General features: G+C 44.4%; 1 protein-coding gene across 6 annotated transcripts in view, besides 3 other annotated features; it reads left to right on the forward strand.

Moving 5' to 3' along the window:
* The window catches only part of TBC1D22B (TBC1 domain family member 22B), a 75,199-nt gene that overhangs the window by 12,407 nt on the left and 41,962 nt on the right, over window positions 1-20,830 (forward strand). For 5 of the 6 annotated variants that reach the window (NM_017772.4, XM_011514738.4, XM_011514739.3 and 2 more), the window contains exons 3-7: window positions 9,126-9,433; window positions 12,007-12,186; window positions 12,704-12,774; window positions 14,158-14,286; window positions 16,829-16,894. In NM_017772.4, coding sequence (NP_060242.2) covers window positions 9,126-9,433; window positions 12,007-12,186; window positions 12,704-12,774; window positions 14,158-14,286; window positions 16,829-16,894 — 754 coding nt within the window. Of the gene's footprint in view, window positions 1-9,125; window positions 9,434-12,006; window positions 12,187-12,703; window positions 12,836-14,157; window positions 14,287-16,828; window positions 16,895-20,830 lie in introns of all 6 variants that reach the window. The other variant, NR_130108.2, reaches the window with a different exon arrangement.
* Window positions 15,901-15,950: an enhancer, noted in NCBI's record as "active region_24456". NCBI's record gives its function as "activates an Ori minimal core promoter by ATAC-STARR-seq in GM12878 lymphoblastoid cells {active_cell/tissue: GM12878}" and the evidence as "EXISTENCE:reporter gene assay evidence [ECO:0000049][PMID:35858748]".
* Window positions 17,612-17,701: a silencer, noted in NCBI's record as "silent region_17136". NCBI's record gives its function as "represses an Ori minimal core promoter by ATAC-STARR-seq in GM12878 lymphoblastoid cells {active_cell/tissue: GM12878}" and the evidence as "EXISTENCE:reporter gene assay evidence [ECO:0000049][PMID:35858748]".
* Window positions 17,742-17,801: a silencer, noted in NCBI's record as "silent region_17137". NCBI's record gives its function as "represses an Ori minimal core promoter by ATAC-STARR-seq in GM12878 lymphoblastoid cells {active_cell/tissue: GM12878}" and the evidence as "EXISTENCE:reporter gene assay evidence [ECO:0000049][PMID:35858748]".

Below are 20,830 nucleotides of genomic sequence, written 5' to 3' on the forward strand. Positions count from 1 at the left end.
TGGTGGCTCACGCCTGTAATCCCAGCACTTTGGGAGGCTGAGGCAGGTGGATTACTTGAGGTCAGGAGTTCGAGACCAGCCTGGCCAATATGGTGAAACCCTGTCTCTGCTAAAAATACAAAAATTGGCTGGGTTGGTGGCAGGCAGCTGTAATCCCAGCTACTTGGGAGGCTGAGGCATGAGAATCGCTTGAACCCAGGAGGCAGAGGTTGCAGTGAGCCGAGATCATGCCATTGCACTCCAGCCTGGGCAACAAAGCGAGATGCCGTCTCAAAAAAATAAAAATAAAAATAAATAAATAAAAGCTATTTAGGAGGCTATTTCTCTAGTAGAACTCTAATAAATTATTTTCAAGCACAACAGAGACTCTAGTTAAATCCAAGATGTGTGGCTCTGTATCCATACCCCCAATTATCCCTTTATCCCATCTTTCTCTCATGGACCATCACTGAGCCACAGTGAATTTAAATGAGGGGATAGGTCACCTTCAGAGATTTTCTAAGAACTTTGGCCTCTATTTGGGGGCATGCTTAATTTTAGAGACTAGTTTCTGGCAAAGTTGTTGTTTGTAATGAAAGCTGAATGGTTAGGGAGATGCAGACCTAGGTTCTCATCTTCCTGGGGCCTGTGTATTAGTAGCTGCCCTTTCTTCCTTCACAGTCAATAGGGAAGTAAAGATAATGTACAATTATGGTTCCAACTACATGACATTCTGGAAAAGGCAAAACATGGAGACAGTGAGAAGATCAGTTGCCAAGGGGTGGGGTTGAGGGGAGATACGAATAGGTAGAGTACTGAGGATTTTTAGGGCAGTGCAGCTACTCTGTGTGATACTATAAAAATGGTGGATACTGCCAGGCGCAGTGGCTCATGCCTGTAATCCCAGCACTTTGGGAGGCGGAGGTGGGCGGATCACTTGAGGTCAGGAGTTTGAGACCAGCCTGGCCAACATGGTGAAACCCCATCTCTACTAAAAATAAAAAAATTAGCCGGGCCTGGTGGCAGGCGCCTGTAATTTCAGCTACTCCGGAGGCTGAGGCAGGAGAATTGCTTGACCCTGGGAGCCAGGGGTTGCAGTGGGCTGAAATCAAGCCACTGCACTCCACCCTGGGCAACAGAGCAAGACTCTGTCTCAAAAAACAAAGCAAAACAAAACAAAACAAAAAACGGTGGATACGTGTCATTATGCATTTGTTCAAACCCACAGAATGTACAAGAGTGAACCCTAACTCAAACTACTGACTTTGAGTGATTATAATGTATTAGTGTAGGTTCATCACTTGTAACAAATGTACCACTGTGGTGGCGGATGTTCATAATGGAGAGGCTGTGCCTGTGTGGGAGAGGGGAGTGTATAGGAAATCTCTGTACCTTCCTCTGGATTTTGCTGTGAACCTAAAACTATTCTAAATATATAAATAAAGTGGTTTTTTAAAAAAGAGAAGAAAAAAAGGATAATATACGTTAAAGTATTTTGAATACCTAGAAGAATGCTATATCAAATATGCATTATCAGTATTTAAACATTTAAAAAATAACTTAGCTGAATATGTAGTGCACTTTCTATAATTCTACCAACTTGTTCTTTTTGCGATTTGGTGTGTGTATAAGGCACAGTCTTCTGAATTACTGAGGAAGCATGACTGCTGTTCTTGTCTGCAAGGTGCATGCTTTTTTTTTTTTTTTTTTTTAAATCAGAAACCACTATTGTATAGATTTCTTGAGAGCAGGGACTTTGTTTTGTTCATTACTGTACCCATAGCCTCTAGAACAGCATGTGGCACGTAGTAGGCAGTGAGTAAATATTTATTGAATGAAGGTATGAAACTGTCTCATTTACTTAAACAGCAGGCTTTTCTTTAATGTTCCTTGGTTTGCCCCTTTTGTTAGGTCTTCTTTTTTTTCTTTTGAGATAGGGTCGCTCTATTGAGGCTGGCATGCAGTGGTGTGATCTTGGCTCACTGCAGCCTCCGCCTCCTGGGCTCAAGCAAGCCTCCCATCTCAGCCTCCTTAGTAGCTGGGACTACAGGCGTGCACCACCACATCTGGCTAATTTTTGTACTTTTTGTAGAGACACGGTTTTGCCATGTTGCCCAGGCTGGTCTTGAACCCCTTGGCTGAAGTGATCTGCCTGCCTCGGCCTCCCAAAGTGCTAGGATTGCAGGCAAGAGCCACTATGTCCAGCCTTTTTTTTTTTTTTTTAAACAGAGTCTTGCGCTGCTGCTCAGGCTAGAGTGCACTGGCACGATCAGGGCTCACTGCAGCCTTGACCTCCTGGGCTGAAGCTGTCCTCCTGCCTCAGCTCCCGCATGCCTCACCCCCAACTTCACCCCACAGTGGCTGGGACTACAGGCATGGGCCACCATGCCTGGCTAATTTTTGTATTTTTAGTGTAGATGGGGTTTCACCATGTTGCCCATGCTTGTCTCAAACTCCCGGACTCAAGTGATCAGCCTGCCTTGGCCTCCCAACGTGCTGGGATTACAGAGGTGAGCCACCGCACCTGGCTGTTAGCTCTTAAGGGGAGCATGTTTTCTGTGATATCTGTGTGATCGTCCCATTAAATAGAATGAATTCTACTATTCTTTGGTTTTATCAAGAATCGACTTTCTGGTCTGTTGGCCAGTGAGGCAGGCATTACTGGTTACCTAACTGATAGTCTTCCCTGTGCCTGCTTCTTTCATGCTCAAGAACCGTAATTTTGTTCAGATATTGAGTAAGCAACAATGCACTTAGGGGAGGTATTAACATTGGCTTAAACCTTTCATGATAATTCTTTAGTAATCCCAGTGACTGGCATAGACTGGTCTCATCTCATTGGTTCTGGCCAATCAAAGAAAGTCTCCTGGGGGAGGGTTCTTGGAAAGATTTTCTTTTTTGATCAGAATGGGAGACAGTTCTGTGAAGAAAGCCTCTTTTTGCTGCCACTCACATTTCCTGCGTTTGAATGTGGTAGTGTGAGTGTGATTCTGAAAGCTATAGCAGCCGACTCGTAACCCCGAGGCAAAAAAAAAAAAAAAAAAAAAACGAGAATAGCAAAGACAACAGCCTAGACCTACATCGTGGTCTTGGGATTTAAGGATCATAGTTGAGAATTATGTTACATGTAACCACAACCATTCTGGTCACAACCAGGAGTTATTGACTGGTAATAGATCTGTTCTAGCACAACCTTTGACAAACACGTGGCTAACCTATAAAGCTGTTCATCCACTCATATAAGGCACTGAGTGTAGTGTCCATTTTATGTTTTGATCAAGATCACCATACCTTGTCTGCACCTATCATCAACTGAGCTTTTCCTAATTTTGTATTTAGGACAGATCTTCAGGAATATTTCCATATCCCAAACTGCCAAGGCAAACTTTATATACTATTGTTTTCTCACCTGTTGATGATATAAAATCATGAATATTTTCACTGATCTTTCAGCAGAGTTTCAGTCATGCTTTCAATAGGAGTAATTACTTAGCTTTACAGTTTGGGAGGAGTTTAGTTGTCACTGGATTAATTGGTTCCCTTTTTCATGTATGTGGTGGTTTGATGTTGATATTTTACAACATGGGGTCGCGTCTATGTCTGCACCAGACCATTTTACAATTTCAGATTGTTGCCATAAAACATTTATCACCTCTATTTTAGTACCTTTGTTAGGACATTTTTATGACTTTCTCTGCTACATGATTATAGTTCCACTTCAGCCCATCATTAATTACTGTGTAGTTAATACACATTGCAGCAGAAGCCTTTACATTGGGTCTTCAATCATCTAAACTGCACAAGCACAGTAAGTCGTTCCCTGTCCATGTGTATTGACTTTAATTTGCCAAATGATTACTATTAGTGATACTATTGCCTGCAGTAATTTTTATAGCTCAGATAAAGCTAGTCTCATTGCTGAGCAGCTGCATTGGCCACTTGATGGTATGACAAGCTTCTAAGTTTATTGTTTTTTGAATTGATGCTCAAGTATGCTAGGTCCTAATTCCAAGTTATAAAACTAGTTCACATGGAGCCACACTAGTTACTAAGATATCTGGATTTATTTGATTGTTACTAAATTTCTCCACTTCACATCACTTGTCAGTGTCAAACATTTTTCTAGAAAATTCTGTTAAGTAGAACATCCGTATTAGTAAGACAGTGTAGTATGATCAAATTACAGAATGCTTGATCTTTTGTACTCCTAACCAGTGTAACCTGTGGCCACTCTTTTTCAACATATCCTTAGGTGTTTGTGTTACTAAGGTACTCATCACCAAACACTTTACCAAGTCAAATGTGCCATTTATTAGGTTTTTGAAATTTTTAGTATTCCCTGCACTTCTTAAATCTCTTTTTCTTTGCCGCTTACCATTTCCATGACCTTGGGCACATTACTGAAACTTTCCAAGCCTTAGTTTCTTCATTCATAAAATAGAGATAGTAAGACTCATTTCACAGATTTGTGAGGATTGCATGAGGTATCTGCAAAGGTGCTTTCTAAACTATAATTTATCGTACAGTTGTAAGGAGGTATGGTGAAGGTGTTCGTCAGAGGCCAGTTTGGTTGTGACTTTGATAGAGTTGTGTTTAAATAATCTTGGTTAGGGTGGGGCATGGTGGCTCACGCCTGTAATCCCAACGCTTTGAGAGGCCAAGGTGGGCAGATCACCTGAGGTTAGGAGTTCAAGACCATCTTGGCCAACATTGGTGAAACCCTGTCTCTACTAAAAATACAAAAATTAGCTGGGCGTAGTGGCATGCGCCTGTAATCCCAGCTACTCAAGATGCTGAGGCAAGAGAATCGCTTGAACCCGGAGGCGGAGATTGCAGTGAGCCAAGATTGCACCACTGCACTTCAGCCTGGAAGACAGAGCGAGAATCCATCTTAATAATAATAATAATAAATAATCTTGGTTAGACTTCAAGCCACACTGTGGCATTCTTTTACATTGAGTTAAGTGTAAACTACCTGGGACTGTGTTTAAATGGAGTATATAAACCGAAGGCATCCCCAGCTGGAGTTACCTGGATTAACTTTTTGCTGCAACTACTGGGGTCAACAGAAAGGGGTGACATTTCTCTTACAAGGAGCCCATGCCTAGATGTGGCTTCTTTCCTGTCTACTCAGAATAGGCTATGTGTGTCAGACCTAAGTCTTTTCCTACAAGTTGAGATTTTTTTTTTTCCTACAGGGTGTGAGAGTTGGGCTTTTGGCTGTGTATAGTTGGGGAGAATTATAGCTGTGGTGGTATGTGGCTTGGTTTACTTGGCGACTTCTCTTCCTAGGCTGCAGATCCTTCTAGGCCCTGACCTTCTTCTTTTTAGCTGCTTTTTTCAAGGTAAAGTAAGTAGTTAGTAGCACATGCTGGCCCAGGAGTCAGGTAGACCTGGATTTGAGCCCAGACCTCACTGCCTGCTCATGATCTCAGTAGGCTTCAGTTCCCTCATCTGTAAATGGGACTAACAAAAATACCCACCTCATAGGATTATTAATGGGCATTAGATAAGAAAATGGGTATATATTAAAATTTAGCATAGGGTCTGGTGAGTATTCAATATTTATGAATATTATGAATATGTATGAATATGGCTAGTGAGTAGCCAATATTTATATGTATTTATTTGTGAATTTATGTATCTCCTCTGGAGAGAGCATAACTAGTAAACATGGAAAAGCTTCAAAGCCTTAAATTTACCCATCATTGTTTATTGCTCCTGGTCTGTGGATTCTCTGCCTTCTCTCAGTGGTAACCCAAAGTACCTTTCACTTCTTGCTTTGCTGTTTCATTCTTTTCTTTTTTTCTTTTTTTTTTTTTTTGGAGATGGAGTCTTGCTCTATCACCCAGGCTGGAGTGCAGTGGCACAATTATGGCTCACTGTAACCTCTGCCTTCCGGGTTCAAGTGATTCTCCTGCCTCAGCCTCCTGAGTAGCTGGGATTACAGGTGTGCACCACCACACCTGGCTAATTTTTGTATTTTTAGTAGAGATGAGGTTTCACTATGTTGGTCAGGCTGGTCTTGAACTCCTGACCTCAGGTGATCTGCCTGTCTCAGCCTCCCAAAGTTCTGGGATTACAGGCATGAGCTACCATGCCCAGCCTTCTCTTTCATTCTTGTGGGTGGTTCTCACCAACCTTGTTTTGTCCTCAGACTCTTCCCCTTTTCTAGGTGAAACCAACCCCTTCCTCCACGAAAGCCTCTTTCCTCAGGACAGAGCTGACTTTTAAATTGGTTGGTTGAATTTGGGGTTTTGTGGGCTAGGTATCCTTAAAATCATTTCTAGCAGCCTCAAAATGGTCTGCCTTGAATCTCATGTCTTTATGTCATGGGGAATGACAGCCTTTTCTCCCTTCTTTCTTCTTCATTGTGTTGGAAAGTGTCCTCCCAGTTTCTATTGGCAAGTCTTCATTTGAGTAAATTCCAATCTTAATCTACTTCAAATATATATTGAATCATTATCTGCTTCAAAAATATAATGAAAACTGGTCAGGCATGGTGGCTCATACTTGTAATCCCAGCACTTTGGGAGGCCGAGGAGGGCAGATCACCTGAGGTCAAGAATTTGAGACCAGCCTGATTAGCTGGGCATGGTGGTGCGTGCCTGTAGTCCCAGCTACTCAGGAGGCTGAGGCAAGAGAATCGCCTGAACCGAGGAGGTGGAGGTTGCAGTGAGCCTAGATCGCACCACTGCACTCCAGCCTGGGTGACAGAGCAAGGCTCCTTTTCAAAACAAACAAAAATATATATATATATAAAACGAAAACCTTCAAATGCATAAAAAGCGTATGAAGAAAAATACAACACACACCCTGGTACCCACCCCTCAGCTGGTTAACGGCCTTCATTTTTCTCAGAAGTCAGCACCTGTTAGAACCTGACAGGCAGCCTGGCCCGTCTCTCCCTGTAGTGTGTTCATCCGGTCCTGGTGTGCGTGTGTGTCACCCTGTGTTAGGCCACCAGCTTCAAGTCAGCTCTTTGACCTGAGTTAAAATTCAACTTCTTGATTTGATGATTGATTAAAGAATTCTCAGAACATCCAGTATTTATGCAATCTTAATGTACACGTGGCCTCTAAGGAGGAAAAACAGTAATAACCACATACTCCTGGGTGTTATATTAGATGACAGATCTTTCTTACACAGCTGCATGTTTGTTCTCGACAGCGAATCCCCTGAGGTGGTACTGCAGGTGGTAGATCAGGTCCCCTTTTACAAAGGAGAAGCAGCCATGGTGGATGAGTCCAGAACGTGCAGCCTCAGTTTTATTTTCTTTGATTTGGGTACTTGTCTCCTATAGTTCTTTTTTTTTTTTTTTTTGAGACGGAGTGTCACTCACACTGTCATCCAGGCTGGAGTCAGTGGTGTGATCTTGGCTCACTGCAACTTCCACCTCCCAGGTTTAAGCAATTCTCCTCCCTCAGCCTCCCGAGTAGCTGGGATTATAGGCATGCGCCACCATGCCTGGCTAATTTTTGTATTTTTTTAGTAGAGATGGGGTTTCACCATGTTGGCCAGGCTGATCTCAAACTCCTGACCTCAAGTGATCCATCTGCCTCCACCTCCCAAAGTGCTGGGATTACGGGCGTGAGCCACTGTGCCTGGCCACTCAAATAGTCTTGTTTTAAGAACAAATATTATCATTTCTATAAATAGAAAACAACATTTGTTATAAATAAGAAGAACTTCTGGGCGTGGTGGCTCATGCCTGTAATCCCAGCAATTTGGGAGGCTCAGGTGAGAGGATCACTTGAGGCCAGGAGTTTGAGACTAGCGAGAGCAACATAATGAGACCCTTATCTCTCAAAAAAAAAAAAGCTAGACATGGTGGTGTGCGCCTATAGTCCCAGCTACTCAGGAAGCTGAGGTGGAAGGATTGCTTGAGCCTAGGAGTTCAAGACTGCAGTAAGCCAAGATTTCTCTACTGCACTCCATCACTCCACCCTGGGTGACAGAGCAAGGCCCTGACTCTTAAAAGAAAAGAACCATATAAATACTCAGTGAAAAACCAAACAATCTTATTAAATCCAGAGGCAGATCTTGTTGCTAGCAAATATATTGATTCTGAGGCTGCCGTCACTTTGGCACCTAGTTAGAAAATGGTCTTAAAGACAGAGTAGCACCAAACTTCAACTTTCTTCTCAAGGCCAGCAGAAGAACTTTTAACAGAATAAAAAATGGAACAACTTTTTTATTTTGGGACTTAATGTTTAATGCTACATATGTGGACTACCTAAAATTATCTTGTTTTCTGCCAGTAGTTTATGTGCTGCTCTAAGTGATAGCAGATCAACTGTCAAATCTCTGTGGATTAACATAGTAAAGGTTTATTTCCTGCTCATGCTACATGTCTAAAATGGGGGTGGGGTAAGGGCAGAGGGCAGGCTCCTCGACATAGTTACTGCTGCTCCACATAGCCACTCAGTTACCTAGGCTGAAGGAGGTTCTACCATCTTGCCAGTGCATCATGATAGAAGAAAAGCTATGGATCAGGCATGGTGGCTCACACCTGTAACCCCAACGATTTGGGAGGCCGAGGTGGGAGGATCACTTGAACCCAGGAGTTCAAGACCAGCCTGGGCAACATAGTGAAACCTTGTGTCTACAAAAAATAATAATAAAATTAGCCAGGCATCGTGGTGTACACCTGTAGTCCCAGCTACTCAAGAGGCTGTGGTGGGAGGATCACTTGAGCCCAGGAGGTCAAGGCTGCAGAGAGCCATGATCATACCACTGCACTCCAGCCTAGGTGACAGAAACTCTGTCTCAAAAAAAAAAAAGAGAGAGGTTATACAGAACTGACACCTATTCTCTACTTTGCCTGGAAGTAATCGCCTCATTTCTCCTCAGTCCATTGGCCGGTATTGGTCATATGGCCTCACCTAAGTGTATGGGGGCCAGGAAGTATACAAGAGCACATGGGATATTTGGTGACCATTGCTGTCTCTGCTACATCTGTCTCTGCGATCTCAGGCTGGTCTGGATGTATCTAGATGAAGAATGGATGTGGGCAATTTTTGTTTGAAGAAGCTAATGATTATGTATGTGGTAGTTTGTAATTTATTAATATTACAATAATAAGCAAATGTAGGTGGTCAGATGTGTCAGGCCATTCCTTGGTAATCGTGTCTCCTTTCTTGAAGTTTCATTAAAGAACGATCAAAAGTCAACACAGTTCCTCTGAAGAATAAGAAGGCCTCCAGTTTTCATGAGTTTGCACGGAATACCAGTGATGCTTGGGACATTGGCGATGATGAGGAAGAGGACTTTTCCTCACCTTCTTTCCAAACTCTGAACTCAAAAGTTGCTTTGGCAACTGCAGCCCAAGTTCTAGAAAACCACAGCAAGCTGAGAGTAAAACCAGAACGGTCCCAGTCAACGACATCGGACGTCCCTGCCAACTACAAGGTCATAAAGTCCAGCAGTGATGCCCAGCTGTCCAGAAACTCTAGTAAGTCCTTCCTGCTCCCTTCATAGCCTCAGCCTTCTCAGCAGCGTGCATTTTAAATAAAAGCGATTTTTCTTTGGGGCCTCACTCAGGTAGATATTCAACTGGGCGGTAAATAAACTCAAGCCTGAGATGTGACATCATTAAGCCTGAGTGGTCACAAGCTATACTTGCCCCTCCCACAGTGGTGGCTGCCCAGTCTGGTGACCTGGGCCTTCACTCTCTGACACCCAGGTGTTGTTTGCCATTCTCCTCTTCTCTTCTTCCTTTCCCTGTGGTGGAGTCCACAACTTCTCTGGTTTGATTGCTTCACATTGCTTTAGGCCTGGTCAGGTTTAGAAATAGTAACTGATGTATTTAAAGCTGTTAGTGGCTGAATTTCACAATTGTTTGGCACTGTGGTTTGACTTTCTCAGCCCTAGGGAACAGCCACTAGCATAAGGTTGTCTTTTCCTGTTCCTGAGGGAGGGAGCAAATGTGCCTAAAGGCCCCAGGTCCCAGCTTCCTGACCATCAGGCAGGTCCCATCAGGTTGGGTGGGGTAGAAGTAGAGGCCTCTCTGTTTCTTTTCGGGAAACTGGCCACAGTAATGGTTGATGTGTTGGTGGTTTTATTAGCTTTTGGGGACTCTCAGTGTATTCCTTTAAATATTCATGGTTATGTTTAATGTTGCCCTAATGGGTTTTATAAAGTATGTTGGGAGCTGGAGAGGGAAGCTTTGTCATCGCAGTGAGAGTTAAAGCAGTGAGCTGGTACAGGATGAAAAGGAAGTAGAAGAACATCAGAGCCCTGGAGTGTACCCTGGCTCATGTTCTGAGGGAACTTTTTCGTGGCTGTAAGGTCTTTGCAATCATTGCACAGTTATTTTCCATCACTGATTTGGGCTCTAGCATGAACCTTCAGTGCCATGCACAGATAGGCATTCAGTGTTACTGGACCAGGTGGCCACAGCTGCAGGCCGTGGAAGGTGTCTACACACTGTGATGGAGGGTCTCCAGAGGTTTCCAGTGTGAGGAAGGCCCCTACCGTGATCCATGATGAGCTGCCCTGTGCAGCCAGGACCTCCCCCGCCCAGCCCAGAGCATTCTCCCTGAGGAGGTTTTCTCCTGCCGGCATCTGTCTGTAAATAGGTAATATGAGATTTACCTCTGTCTCAGCTTTGCAGTGTGTGTCTGCATTTTCTAGTCCCCTTGTTACACTAGGCGTCCCAGCCAACTGCCTCATGGAAGTTGTTTTTGTAAACCTTCTAGTAGTGCTGGTTGGTTGATAGTCACTGCATCTGTCTGTAAATAGGTAATATGAAATTTACCTCTGTCTCAGCTTTGCAGTGTGTGTCTGCATTTTCTAGTCCCCTCGTTACACTAGGCATCCCAGCCAACTGCCTCGTGGAAGTTGTTTTTGTAAACCTTCTAGTAGTGCTGGTTGGTTGATAGTCACTGTTTAATTTTTGTTGTGACTACTACTTTTTAAGGCCCAGCCGTGTAAAGAATATGAAACAGTCATGTAAGCACAGCTAGAATTAAAAACTGAGTTTTGCTTGTGGTAATACAAGAGTTTTAGAGTCAGGCTTACCTAAGGTGGTTTTTCACTTCTCACTTGCAAGTTATTTAACCTCCCTGAGCTGCAGTTTCTTGTCTGTAAAATAGTTATACATTCCTACCATATGTTCTAAGGATCAAATGAGAGATCATATGTAAAAGTGACCTATATGCCTTATACATATGAAGCACTCAATATACGTGAGTCCTCTACTGCTTATTCCCCCTACCCACTATCTAGTGTAGAAATGTCAAGAACAAGACAGAGTTCAGTTTGAGTCTTTGTTTGTTATTTCAGTCATATCTTGGCAGAATTAAGAACTGGTTGATTTTGGTGGGAAATGTAGGAGCACAAAGGAACCGCAGCCACCAAAGGCAGGATTGCCTTAGGCCAGAGCTTCTCACCATTGTGCAGGGCACACTGGTGGGCCAAGAACCGGGTACAGGATGTGCGGGGATATTGATCCTTTTAGTCCTTGGAGCAGCTGGGGGTTCTGGGGCTTGTGGAGAGCAACCACCTCCATTTATTGCAGCCTTGTGCTTTGTGGTGTCATCTGCAGTGTCATCATTCCTTATGTGCTCTGTGGTGTGGAATGGGAAGGAAAACACTGCCTTAGACTAAACTAAACTCACTATTTGGCACCAAGAAAAGTTCCAAGTTAGGGTAGAAAGAAAACATTTGATTTTCCTTTAGAGTCACCAAAAAAGTTCTCAAAAGTTGCTGCAGCATCTGGAGTCTCTGTTAGCACCTTTAGAGTCACCAAAAAAGTTCTCAAAAGTTGCTGCAGCATCTGGCGTCTCTGTTACCACCTAAGGTGCCTTGGTGTGTTTGATATAAATGCAGCCCTTTCTCTGGGCAGTGAATGGGGTGTGGCTGGGTTCTGGCCCCTCGCTGCCCTTCAGCTGGGCACCTCAGACAGTGCACACAGGCAGCCACACCCTTGGGGAGGAAACACAATGCTGAACGGTTAGGTTTAAGGCTTCTCAGAATCCATACTCCTCACACAGCCCGTTCTCTTTCTTTTTCAAATGATCTCAGGTGATACATGCCTGAGGAACCCACTCCACAAACAGCAATCACTCCCTCTCCGGCCCATCATCCCCCTCGTTGCCCGGATCTCGGATCAGAACGCTTCTGGGGCCCCCCCAATGACTGTCCGGGAGAAAACCCGCCTAGAAAAATTCCGTCAACTTCTCTCCAGCCAGAACACTGACTTAGGTGAGTCCCTGTGAGCCCAGGCAAGGTAGGAGCTTTGGGTGACTGGAATTCTCAGAGACCTGGAAGCTACTGCTCTTTATTCTTCCTTCTTTTACTTTTCTAGCTTCTCCTGACCTGGTGCCCATTGCAGTGACATGCAGGTATTAAGTCAGACATATGTTACTAGAGATTATGGACCAAATTAGGTGGGACTGGTTTCTGTGGCCTGTAGACCCTAGTGCAACTATTCTGACTTTGGTCTTCCTTATCTCAAGGTGACTCTTACTGAAATCTACACCCACTGGTCTTTCCCTTCCCCTCTAACTTTCATCTCTGAGCTGACAGGACTGCTACTGCAAGGCCGTGTCCTTGGCACTTAGCTGCTCGGGGCTGTTTTGGGCTTTTCACTGTGCTTATGGGTAGCAGGTGGTGGTGGTGGTCTTACATGGATGGAAGGAGACATCAGGCAGTGCTGGTTGCGGTTTGCTTTAGAGCATTTGTGGAGAGTTAACCTAACAAGGCTGTTTTCTATTTACAGATGAACTGAGGAAGTGTAGCTGGCCAGGGGTTCCCAGGGAGGTTCGACCTATAACCTGGAGACTCCTGTCGGTGAGTTCTACCCACTGTGTAGAGAAATGTGAGCCTCACACAGCCCTTCTTGCCTGATGAGGTTAGTCTGGACACATTGGTCTTAACTCCATAGACTTCTCTAGTCCTACTGGATATGACAGAACTATGGGACTATAGTCCTATTTCTGTGCATAAAGAAATACATTCTTGAGAGTTTATTCACACACATGTAGTGGTACACAGACTTGTACCAATAGTCATGGTGTCATGTTCTTAACAGCGAGGAAGAAGAATAGAGTGAGATAGGGTGATCCCAGCACTTGCTTTGAGTAAGCTCCAACGTTCCCTGTGCTTCACTCCTGTTTCAGCCGGAATAACCAAAAGTTGAAACCCACTTTGATCTGTGAAGAGTTGATAAATTGGCCTCCCTTGGAAGCTTTACTAGTCCTGCTTTCACCAAGTACAGAGCACTGTGCCAGCCGCTATGATAGAAACACTTGGGTTTCCTGAGCCTGTAAAATTCATTCATTCATCTAGTGAGGATTTATTGAGAGCCTGCTGTTTGCCAGGCATAGTGCCAGATGCTTTGAGCAGATGCAAAAATGAATAAACCACAGTCCCCACTCTCCAGGCACTCACTGCAGAATGCATTACATAAATGTTTTCAAGAAGAAGGGTCTGTCTCCTGACTGCTCGCCCCCACCTCTACTCTTGCAACCATGCAATCATTGCCTCTGCCACTTCTAATAAGTTTGAATACTATTCAGAGTAGATTTGGTGAGAACGGAAGGGGAACAGAAAATATAAGAATGAGAGTGGGATCTAGACCAGGGATAAGAATGAAAGTTGGCCTGGAGCTTTGGCTAGGCCGGGGGCTGCTGCCAGAAGTTCTGTCTGAGTGTTGTAGCTGTATGTCACAGATTCCATTCAGCTGCTTCCTAAGCTGGTAATTCTGAAAGTTACACTGGAAAAGAATGTAACTGGCACCAACTTACTTGGCACACTGCTGAGATGTGCTGTAGAGGTTGCTATATCCCTGCATTTCTCAGAAGTATGGCCCTGGACACACACAGCCCTCCGAGGCCATGACTTGGGTCCAGCTCCCTCCCACTGACCTACATTCACTGCTGTACTGTGCCAGCTCTGGGAGCTGAGGAGTGCTCACCAGTGGCACAAGCTCCAGCACAGTGCAGGGCCAAGGGAGTAAATAATCCTGGGAAAGCTGGCCTTGCTTCATCTGCTCACATGTGGATCTCATTGAATGAGGAGAGGGCAAAAAATGGGTGGCCAGAACCAAAAAGGGATTTACCCTTGGCAGTTTTCCTTCTTGGTAGTTTCCAAACCACTGCATAGATTAAAATAAAAATTAAGGATTTATCCAACCATTGTCTTTCCCCATCTGACCAGCAGTCTTGTCTATAGGGCTATCTCCCAGCAAACACTGAGAGGAGGAAGTTGACCCTGCAGCGGAAGCGGGAGGAATATTTTGGCTTCATTGAACAGTATTATGACTCTCGAAACGAGGAACATCACCAGGATACCTACAGACAGGTACAGTCACCACCTGCTGCCTCTTTGCTTACCAGTCATATACTTTAGGTATGTCTCATGGTAGTGCTCTCAGGGTACAGGCTTTCCAAGTCTTCAGGCTGTGGTATATTGGTTAGGAGTTAAATTTATCCTCAAAACTGTTTCCCCTCTTTTCATTCAGCAACTCTGATTTTAGCCATTTTAAATAGACAGACTTTTTTGGCACTAGTCAGTGCACTGCTTCTCAAACTTTAATGTACATACAAATCACCTAGGATCTTGATAAGATCTCACCTAGAGATTATGAGAAAATGCAGATTCTGATTTAGCAGGTCTCAGGTAAAGCCTGAAGTTCTGATGTGCTCCCTTGCAATGCTGCTGCTGCTGGTCCACCAACCACACTGTGAGTAGTAAGCGTTATCGAGCATGGAGAGGAAAGACAAGCTTACCTAGCCGTGGTCCAGTCCCTCTGGACTATGACATCAGTATGTCTTCCTGGCAGCTGCACTGCTGTTTTGGCATCTGTGACTGTAGGAGCTGTAGCTTTCAGTAGTCTTGTCAGGGAGTCTTCTGTCATTGCCCATAATGGTCCTCATGGTCTGCGGAAAGGTCTGCTCCCAACATCACATGTGGAGGGAGGAGAAGAGTAGGCCAGGGGTTGCAGAAAGTGGAAGGTGGGCAGCTATTTACAACAAGCCTCAAGAACTGAAGTAGCCTCTGCTGCTGCTGCTGCTGACACAGTCTTTTGCATAGTTAGACTGGGCACTGGGAAATCCCTGAGTTGAAATGGACTATAGTGATGTCTTAGGTAACAGAAGTAAGAACTTTCAGCTTCAGTTACTGAAGGCCAACTCCTTTTGGTCCTTCCCCACTTTTTTTTTTTTTTTTTTTTTTTTTTTGAGATGGAGTCTCACTCTGTCGTCCAGGCTGGAGTGCAGTGGCGTGATCTTGGCTCACTGCAGCCCCCACCTCCTGGATTCAGGTGATTCTCCTGCCTCGGCTTCCTGAGTAGCTGGGATTACAGGCATGTGCCACCAGGCCCGGCTAATTTTTTCTTTATCTTTTTTGAGACCGAGTCTTTTTCTGTCACTTAGGCTGGAGTGCAGTGGCGCAATCTCGGCTTGCTCCAGCCTTTGTCCGCTGGGTTCCAGCGATTCTCCTGCCTCACCCTCCTGGATAGCTGGGATTACAGGCGCACACCACCACACCCAGCTAATTTTTGTAATTTTAGTAGAGATGGGGTTTCGCCATGTTGGCCAGGCTGGTCTTGAACTCCTGGCCTCAGGTGATCCACCCACCTTGGCCTCCCAAAGTGCTGGGATTACAGGTATGAGCCACCATGTAATTTTTGTAATTTTAGTGGAGACGGGGTTTCACCATGTTGGCCAGGCTGGTCTCAAACTCCTGACCTCAAGTGATCCACCCGCCTCAGCCTCCCAAAGTGCTGGGATCACAGGCGTGAGCCATCGCCCTGGCCCTTCCCCGCTTCTTACACATCATGACTTCATAAGCAAGTTCATCTCTGGTTCCCTATTTTAGGACATTTTTGCAGCTTTCTGAGCTCTTCTAGTTCTTAGGAACTGTTGATGAGTAAGATTCTGAAAGATGGGTACCTACTTGGATCATACCTGCTACATACATGCCAGCCCAGAGTGAAACAGACTTCAGAGCAATAAGAAAAAACCCTTAATCTGTGAAGCCTATTGCCATTTGACTTTAGTGGTTTCTTTTGGGAGGTTTCCTCACTGTTTAATAAGCTATTGTTGTCATGGAAACATGTTCCACATGGGCAGGTAGGTATAACTAGATTTTTTTCCTGTGTCAGTCACTTCTTTCTGAAGATAAATTGTGTTTTCTTACTACTTTGATTTCCATTTCTTTTTTTTTTTTGAGACAGAGTCTTGCTCTGTCGCCCAGGCTGGAGTGCAGTGGCCCGATCTCGGCTCACTGCAAGCTCCACCTCCCGGGTTCACACCATTCTCCTGCCTCGGCCTCCCGAGTAGCTGGGACTACAGGCACCCGCCACCACGCCCGGCTAATTTTTTGTATTTTTAGTAGAGACAGGGTTTCACCGTGTTAGCCAGGATGGTCTCGATCTCCTGACCTCATGATCCGCCCGGCTTGGCCTCCCAAAGTGCTGGGATTACAGGCGTGAGCCACCGCACCCAGCCAGATGATTCCCATTTCTTTAAAAAAAAATTGTCAAAAGAACAAACTGGGCCAGGCACGGTGGCTCACACCTGCAATCCCAGCACTTTGGCAGGCCAAGGCGGGTGGGTCACCTGAGGTCAAGAGTTCGAGATCAGCCTGGTCAACATGGTGAAACCCCGTCTCTACTAAAAATGCAAAAATTAGCCAGGCCTGGTGGCAGGTGCCTGTAATCCCAGCTACTTGGGAGGCTGAGGCAGGAGAATCGCTTGAACCCTGGAGGCAGAGGTTGCAGTGAGCTGAGATAGTGCCATTGCACTCCAGCCTGGGGGACAAGAGCGAGACTTCATCTCAAAAAAACAAAAACAAAAAAAAACTGGCATTTGTGTTTTTGGACATGCCTTCTCTTTTTCAGATTCACATTGACATTCCAAGGACGAATCCTCTCATTCCGTTGTTCCAGCAACCACTTGTACAGGAGGTGAGGGAATTACTTAATGTTCTTTGGCGCTTCTCCCCGCATAGTTCTGTGGCACCTGTTTACAGGTTTGCGGCTAATCATAATAGTACCTTATGTTCATATATGCAGCTTTGGTTCCTTCAGAGCATGGTTTCATACATTTTCATTTGATCTTTGTTACAAATCTGTGAGCGGAATAACACTTTGAAAGGCTAAGGAACTTGCTCAGAATTTTGAGGCTACCTGGTGGCAGAATGAAGAACCCACATCTTAGAATTCCTATTCCTGTATTTGCTCTACTTTATCAAGCTGGAAGTAGTGATTTTTTAAATTGTGGTAAAATATACATAATATAAAATTTACTGTGTTAACCATTTTTTAGTGTACAGTTCAGTGGCATTAAGTACAGTCACGTTATTGTATGACCATCATCACCATCCACTTCCAGAACATTTTTCATCTTCCCAAACTGGAACTCTGTATCCATTAAATATTAACTCTCTTCTGCAGCCTCCATTCTATTTGTCTCTAAGAATTTGACTACTCCAGGCAGCTCAAATAAGTGGAATCATACAATATTTGTCCTTCTGTGACTGGCTTATTTCACTTAGCATAATATCTTTAAGGTTCATCCCTGTTGTTGCATGTGTGAATTTCCTTTTTTAAGGCTGAGTAATATTCCGTTGTACATATGTAACACATATTGTTGAGCTGTTCATCTATCAGTGGACACATGGGTTGCTTTCACCTTTTGGCTATTGTGAGTAATGCTGCTGCTAGTATGGGTATGTGAATATCTGTTTGAGTCTCTGTTTTAAATTCTTTTGGGTATATATTTAGAAGTGGGAGTAGTAGTTATATTTTGAGACCTAACAAGTTAATGAAGTACATGGAAGGTGTCAGTGGGGCTATTATGTTTTGACTCAAGCAGTAACTGTAAACTTCTTAAGATTAGGGATTTCCTTTGCAACTTTACAGTAGCCAGGACACTAAGTACTAGTGCTCTTTTAACGGAACTTTCAGTTCTCATAGTAGAGAGGGATGGTGGTTAAAATGCTGAAAATAATTTCTATTTGACTTTGGGTTATATTTATAATTTTGTTTAAATATAGATGTCTCCACTGGTGGGGTCCCTCATGTCTTACCCATAGCATAAAGAAGATTTTGAAGGTAACATCATTATTTTAACTATAAGATTCAGCTCACAGGAAGCTAAAAACCCATTCATGATCCCTTTATCCTCCCATACAGTTTTCCATGGCTCAGCACTGCTTATTCCTCATTTTAACTTGGAGATGTTCAGAGACTTTTCTTTTACCTGTGCATGCTTACTCTGAATTTGGAGATGAGGAAAGTAGTCAGTTTAAAAGGCTTCTCAGCCAGGCGTGATGACTCACTCCTATAATCCCAGCACTTTGGGAGGCCAAGGCCAGAGGGATTGCTTGAGCCCACGAGTTTGAGACCAGCCTGAGCCTAGGAGTTTGAGACCAGTCTGGGTAACATAGCAAGACCCTGTCTCAAAAAAATTACAGAATTAGCCAGGCATGGTGGTGTGTGCCTGTGCTACTGTGCCTGTGCTACTTGGGAGGCTGAGGAGGGAGGATCTCTTGAGCCCAGGTGGTCAAAGCTGCAATGAGCCATGATCGTGCTACTGCACTCCAGCCTGGGTGACAGAGCAAGATCCTGTCTCAAAAAAAAAAAAAAAAAGAGGTTGGGGGGTGGTGGCTTCTTTTAGTAGTGCATCCTGAATACAATATGGGAACTCAAACTTTATTCTCCCCAATTTTTCCTGAATGACCATTTCATCTAGCAGGCTACAGTCATCTTTTAAATTTTTTTTATTTTAACTTTTTAAGAGACAGGGTCTCACTCTGTCACCCAGGCTAGAGTGCAGTGGCATGATCATAGCTCACTGCAACCTCTACTCCCCGGGCTCAAGCAGTCCTCCTGCCTCAGCCTCCCAAGTAGCTGGGGCTGCAATCATGCACCACCACACCTGGCTAATTTTTTTTCTCATAATTTTTTGTAGAGATGGGGTCTTGCTTTGTTGCCCAGGACTGGTCTCGAACCCCTGGCCTCAAGCAATTCTTTCTGCTTCTGCCTCTCAAAATGCTGGAATTACAAGGCGTGAGCCACCATCCAGGCTGGTAAAAATGCCAACCAAGAAGCAAAGAACTAAGTAACACTGAATACGGAAAGGCTTGCTTTGAAAACCTGAAAGATACTTGATAATTGCCTATAGTATGTAAGAATTACCCACACTAGTAGAAGAGACATTGGAAGACCTCCAGCGGTTCTCCTATCCACTCCTCTCTATAAGGCAGGATTATCCCAGACTTTTTCTATAGCGAACATCCCATGGTCTCCCCTGATTACCAGGCTTGGTGCTCTTCAGTTTCCATCTCTTTGACCACTTCACTTGTACCATGTGAGTGTGTCTGTGTTGTTCCACCCTGACTAGAGAGGATGATCACAGGTCTCCTGATTCTGAACAGCTAGCTTCCATGTACTTGGCCATTGTTACAGCCAGGCGCCAAGGATTTGAGTATTTACAAGGGGCTGATCCTATAGAGTAGAAGCCCTTCTAAGTCCTTTGGAAAGACCAACCTGGAGGAGCTTTTTAATAGAGGCATCTAGACAGACCCAGGTCACAAGAAGTGCAAAGAAAGAGAGTGAGGCAGGGAATTATTGAGATTTTCCTGAAAACGATGGTTCTAGCTTTGGCTGTATTTTCAAGATAGAGGGATCATTTAGCAACAGAGAGGAAATAGAGTGTAAGAGCGTTCCCATTAGAGTGTTGGGCCGAATGCAAATGAGGGTGCTATGCCTTTTCCTCAACTACACAAAGCAAATGGGTAGGTCTAGTGAAGGCAGAGAGGCCAGCTCCCTTCCAGGAAAGGCTTTGTTCTCACTACCTATGAAGGCAGCAGTGTTGACAGTGAAAGAAACCGTTTCTCAGCTCTGTTTGCCCGCTGTAGGCACAACGATCTATGACAGAGAGGCTGGGAAGCATCCTTTATGTCTCTAGATTCTCTGTGTCCCTCCTACACTAGATAACCATCTCCAAAAACCATATAACCATTTCCTGTTTGTTGGTCTCCCTGGGAGGTTTTTCTGCCTTCCACCTGCTTGAGAGGGCCTCTTCAATCTGATGCAGTGGTGACTGGCTGAGATTCTCCCAAGTCCACATGCTTTCTAATCTCCTACCCTATCATCTGCATGTACTCACATCACCTCTGCCATCTCTCTGGTGTGGTTCTCAGAGGCATGAGGCAGCCCAGTCAAAGCCAGTCTCAAGAATGTGTCAGACTTGGGAATTGTGGTCACCAGGATGAAACCAGGCAATGGGTATTATCAGGTTGAGAGAAGATGGGGAGAAGCTCAGAGGGCCTAATGAAAGCGAGGGGAGTATAGTTGAGTGGGACAGGGCATGATTATGTAAAGGGACCATAAAGATCTTTCCTTTGTCCCCAGTGTAGGCCTCTGGCTTCTTATGGCTAATATGCTAAACCCCAGGGCCTTTCCCATGGGGCCCTGGCTGGTTTCTCTGTTCTCAAATTCCCAGCTATAGGAGTCCATAGGATTTTGTTTGACTTCCTATCCTTAGCAAACATCTGAGTTGTATCCTGATATGTGAACTGACTTCCTGCAATGTGCAGTCTGTCACTTGGTCCTAGTCAGGCTGGGTTAGAATTAAATCAAGACCACCTTTCTTCTCAGGCAGGGAGAGGGGAGGGTGGTAGAAAAGGTATTTCCTGTCTAAATCCTATAATGACCAAAAAAAAAAAAATTTAGAAAAAAGCATCAGAACTGGGATGTCCTGATATCTTGCTCTTGGAAATAGGAAACCATATCTACAGATGAGAATGTGGTGGCCTGAATTAACAGCATTCATCCCAAATGTTTTCTAAGGCATTTGGGTTTGCTGTTCTTTCCTTCTCCCAATTTTATATTGTG

This window comes from Homo sapiens, chromosome 6 (genome assembly GCF_000001405.40).
Source record: "Homo sapiens chromosome 6, GRCh38.p14 Primary Assembly".
Taxonomy (NCBI): Eukaryota; Metazoa; Chordata; class Mammalia; order Primates; family Hominidae; genus Homo; species Homo sapiens.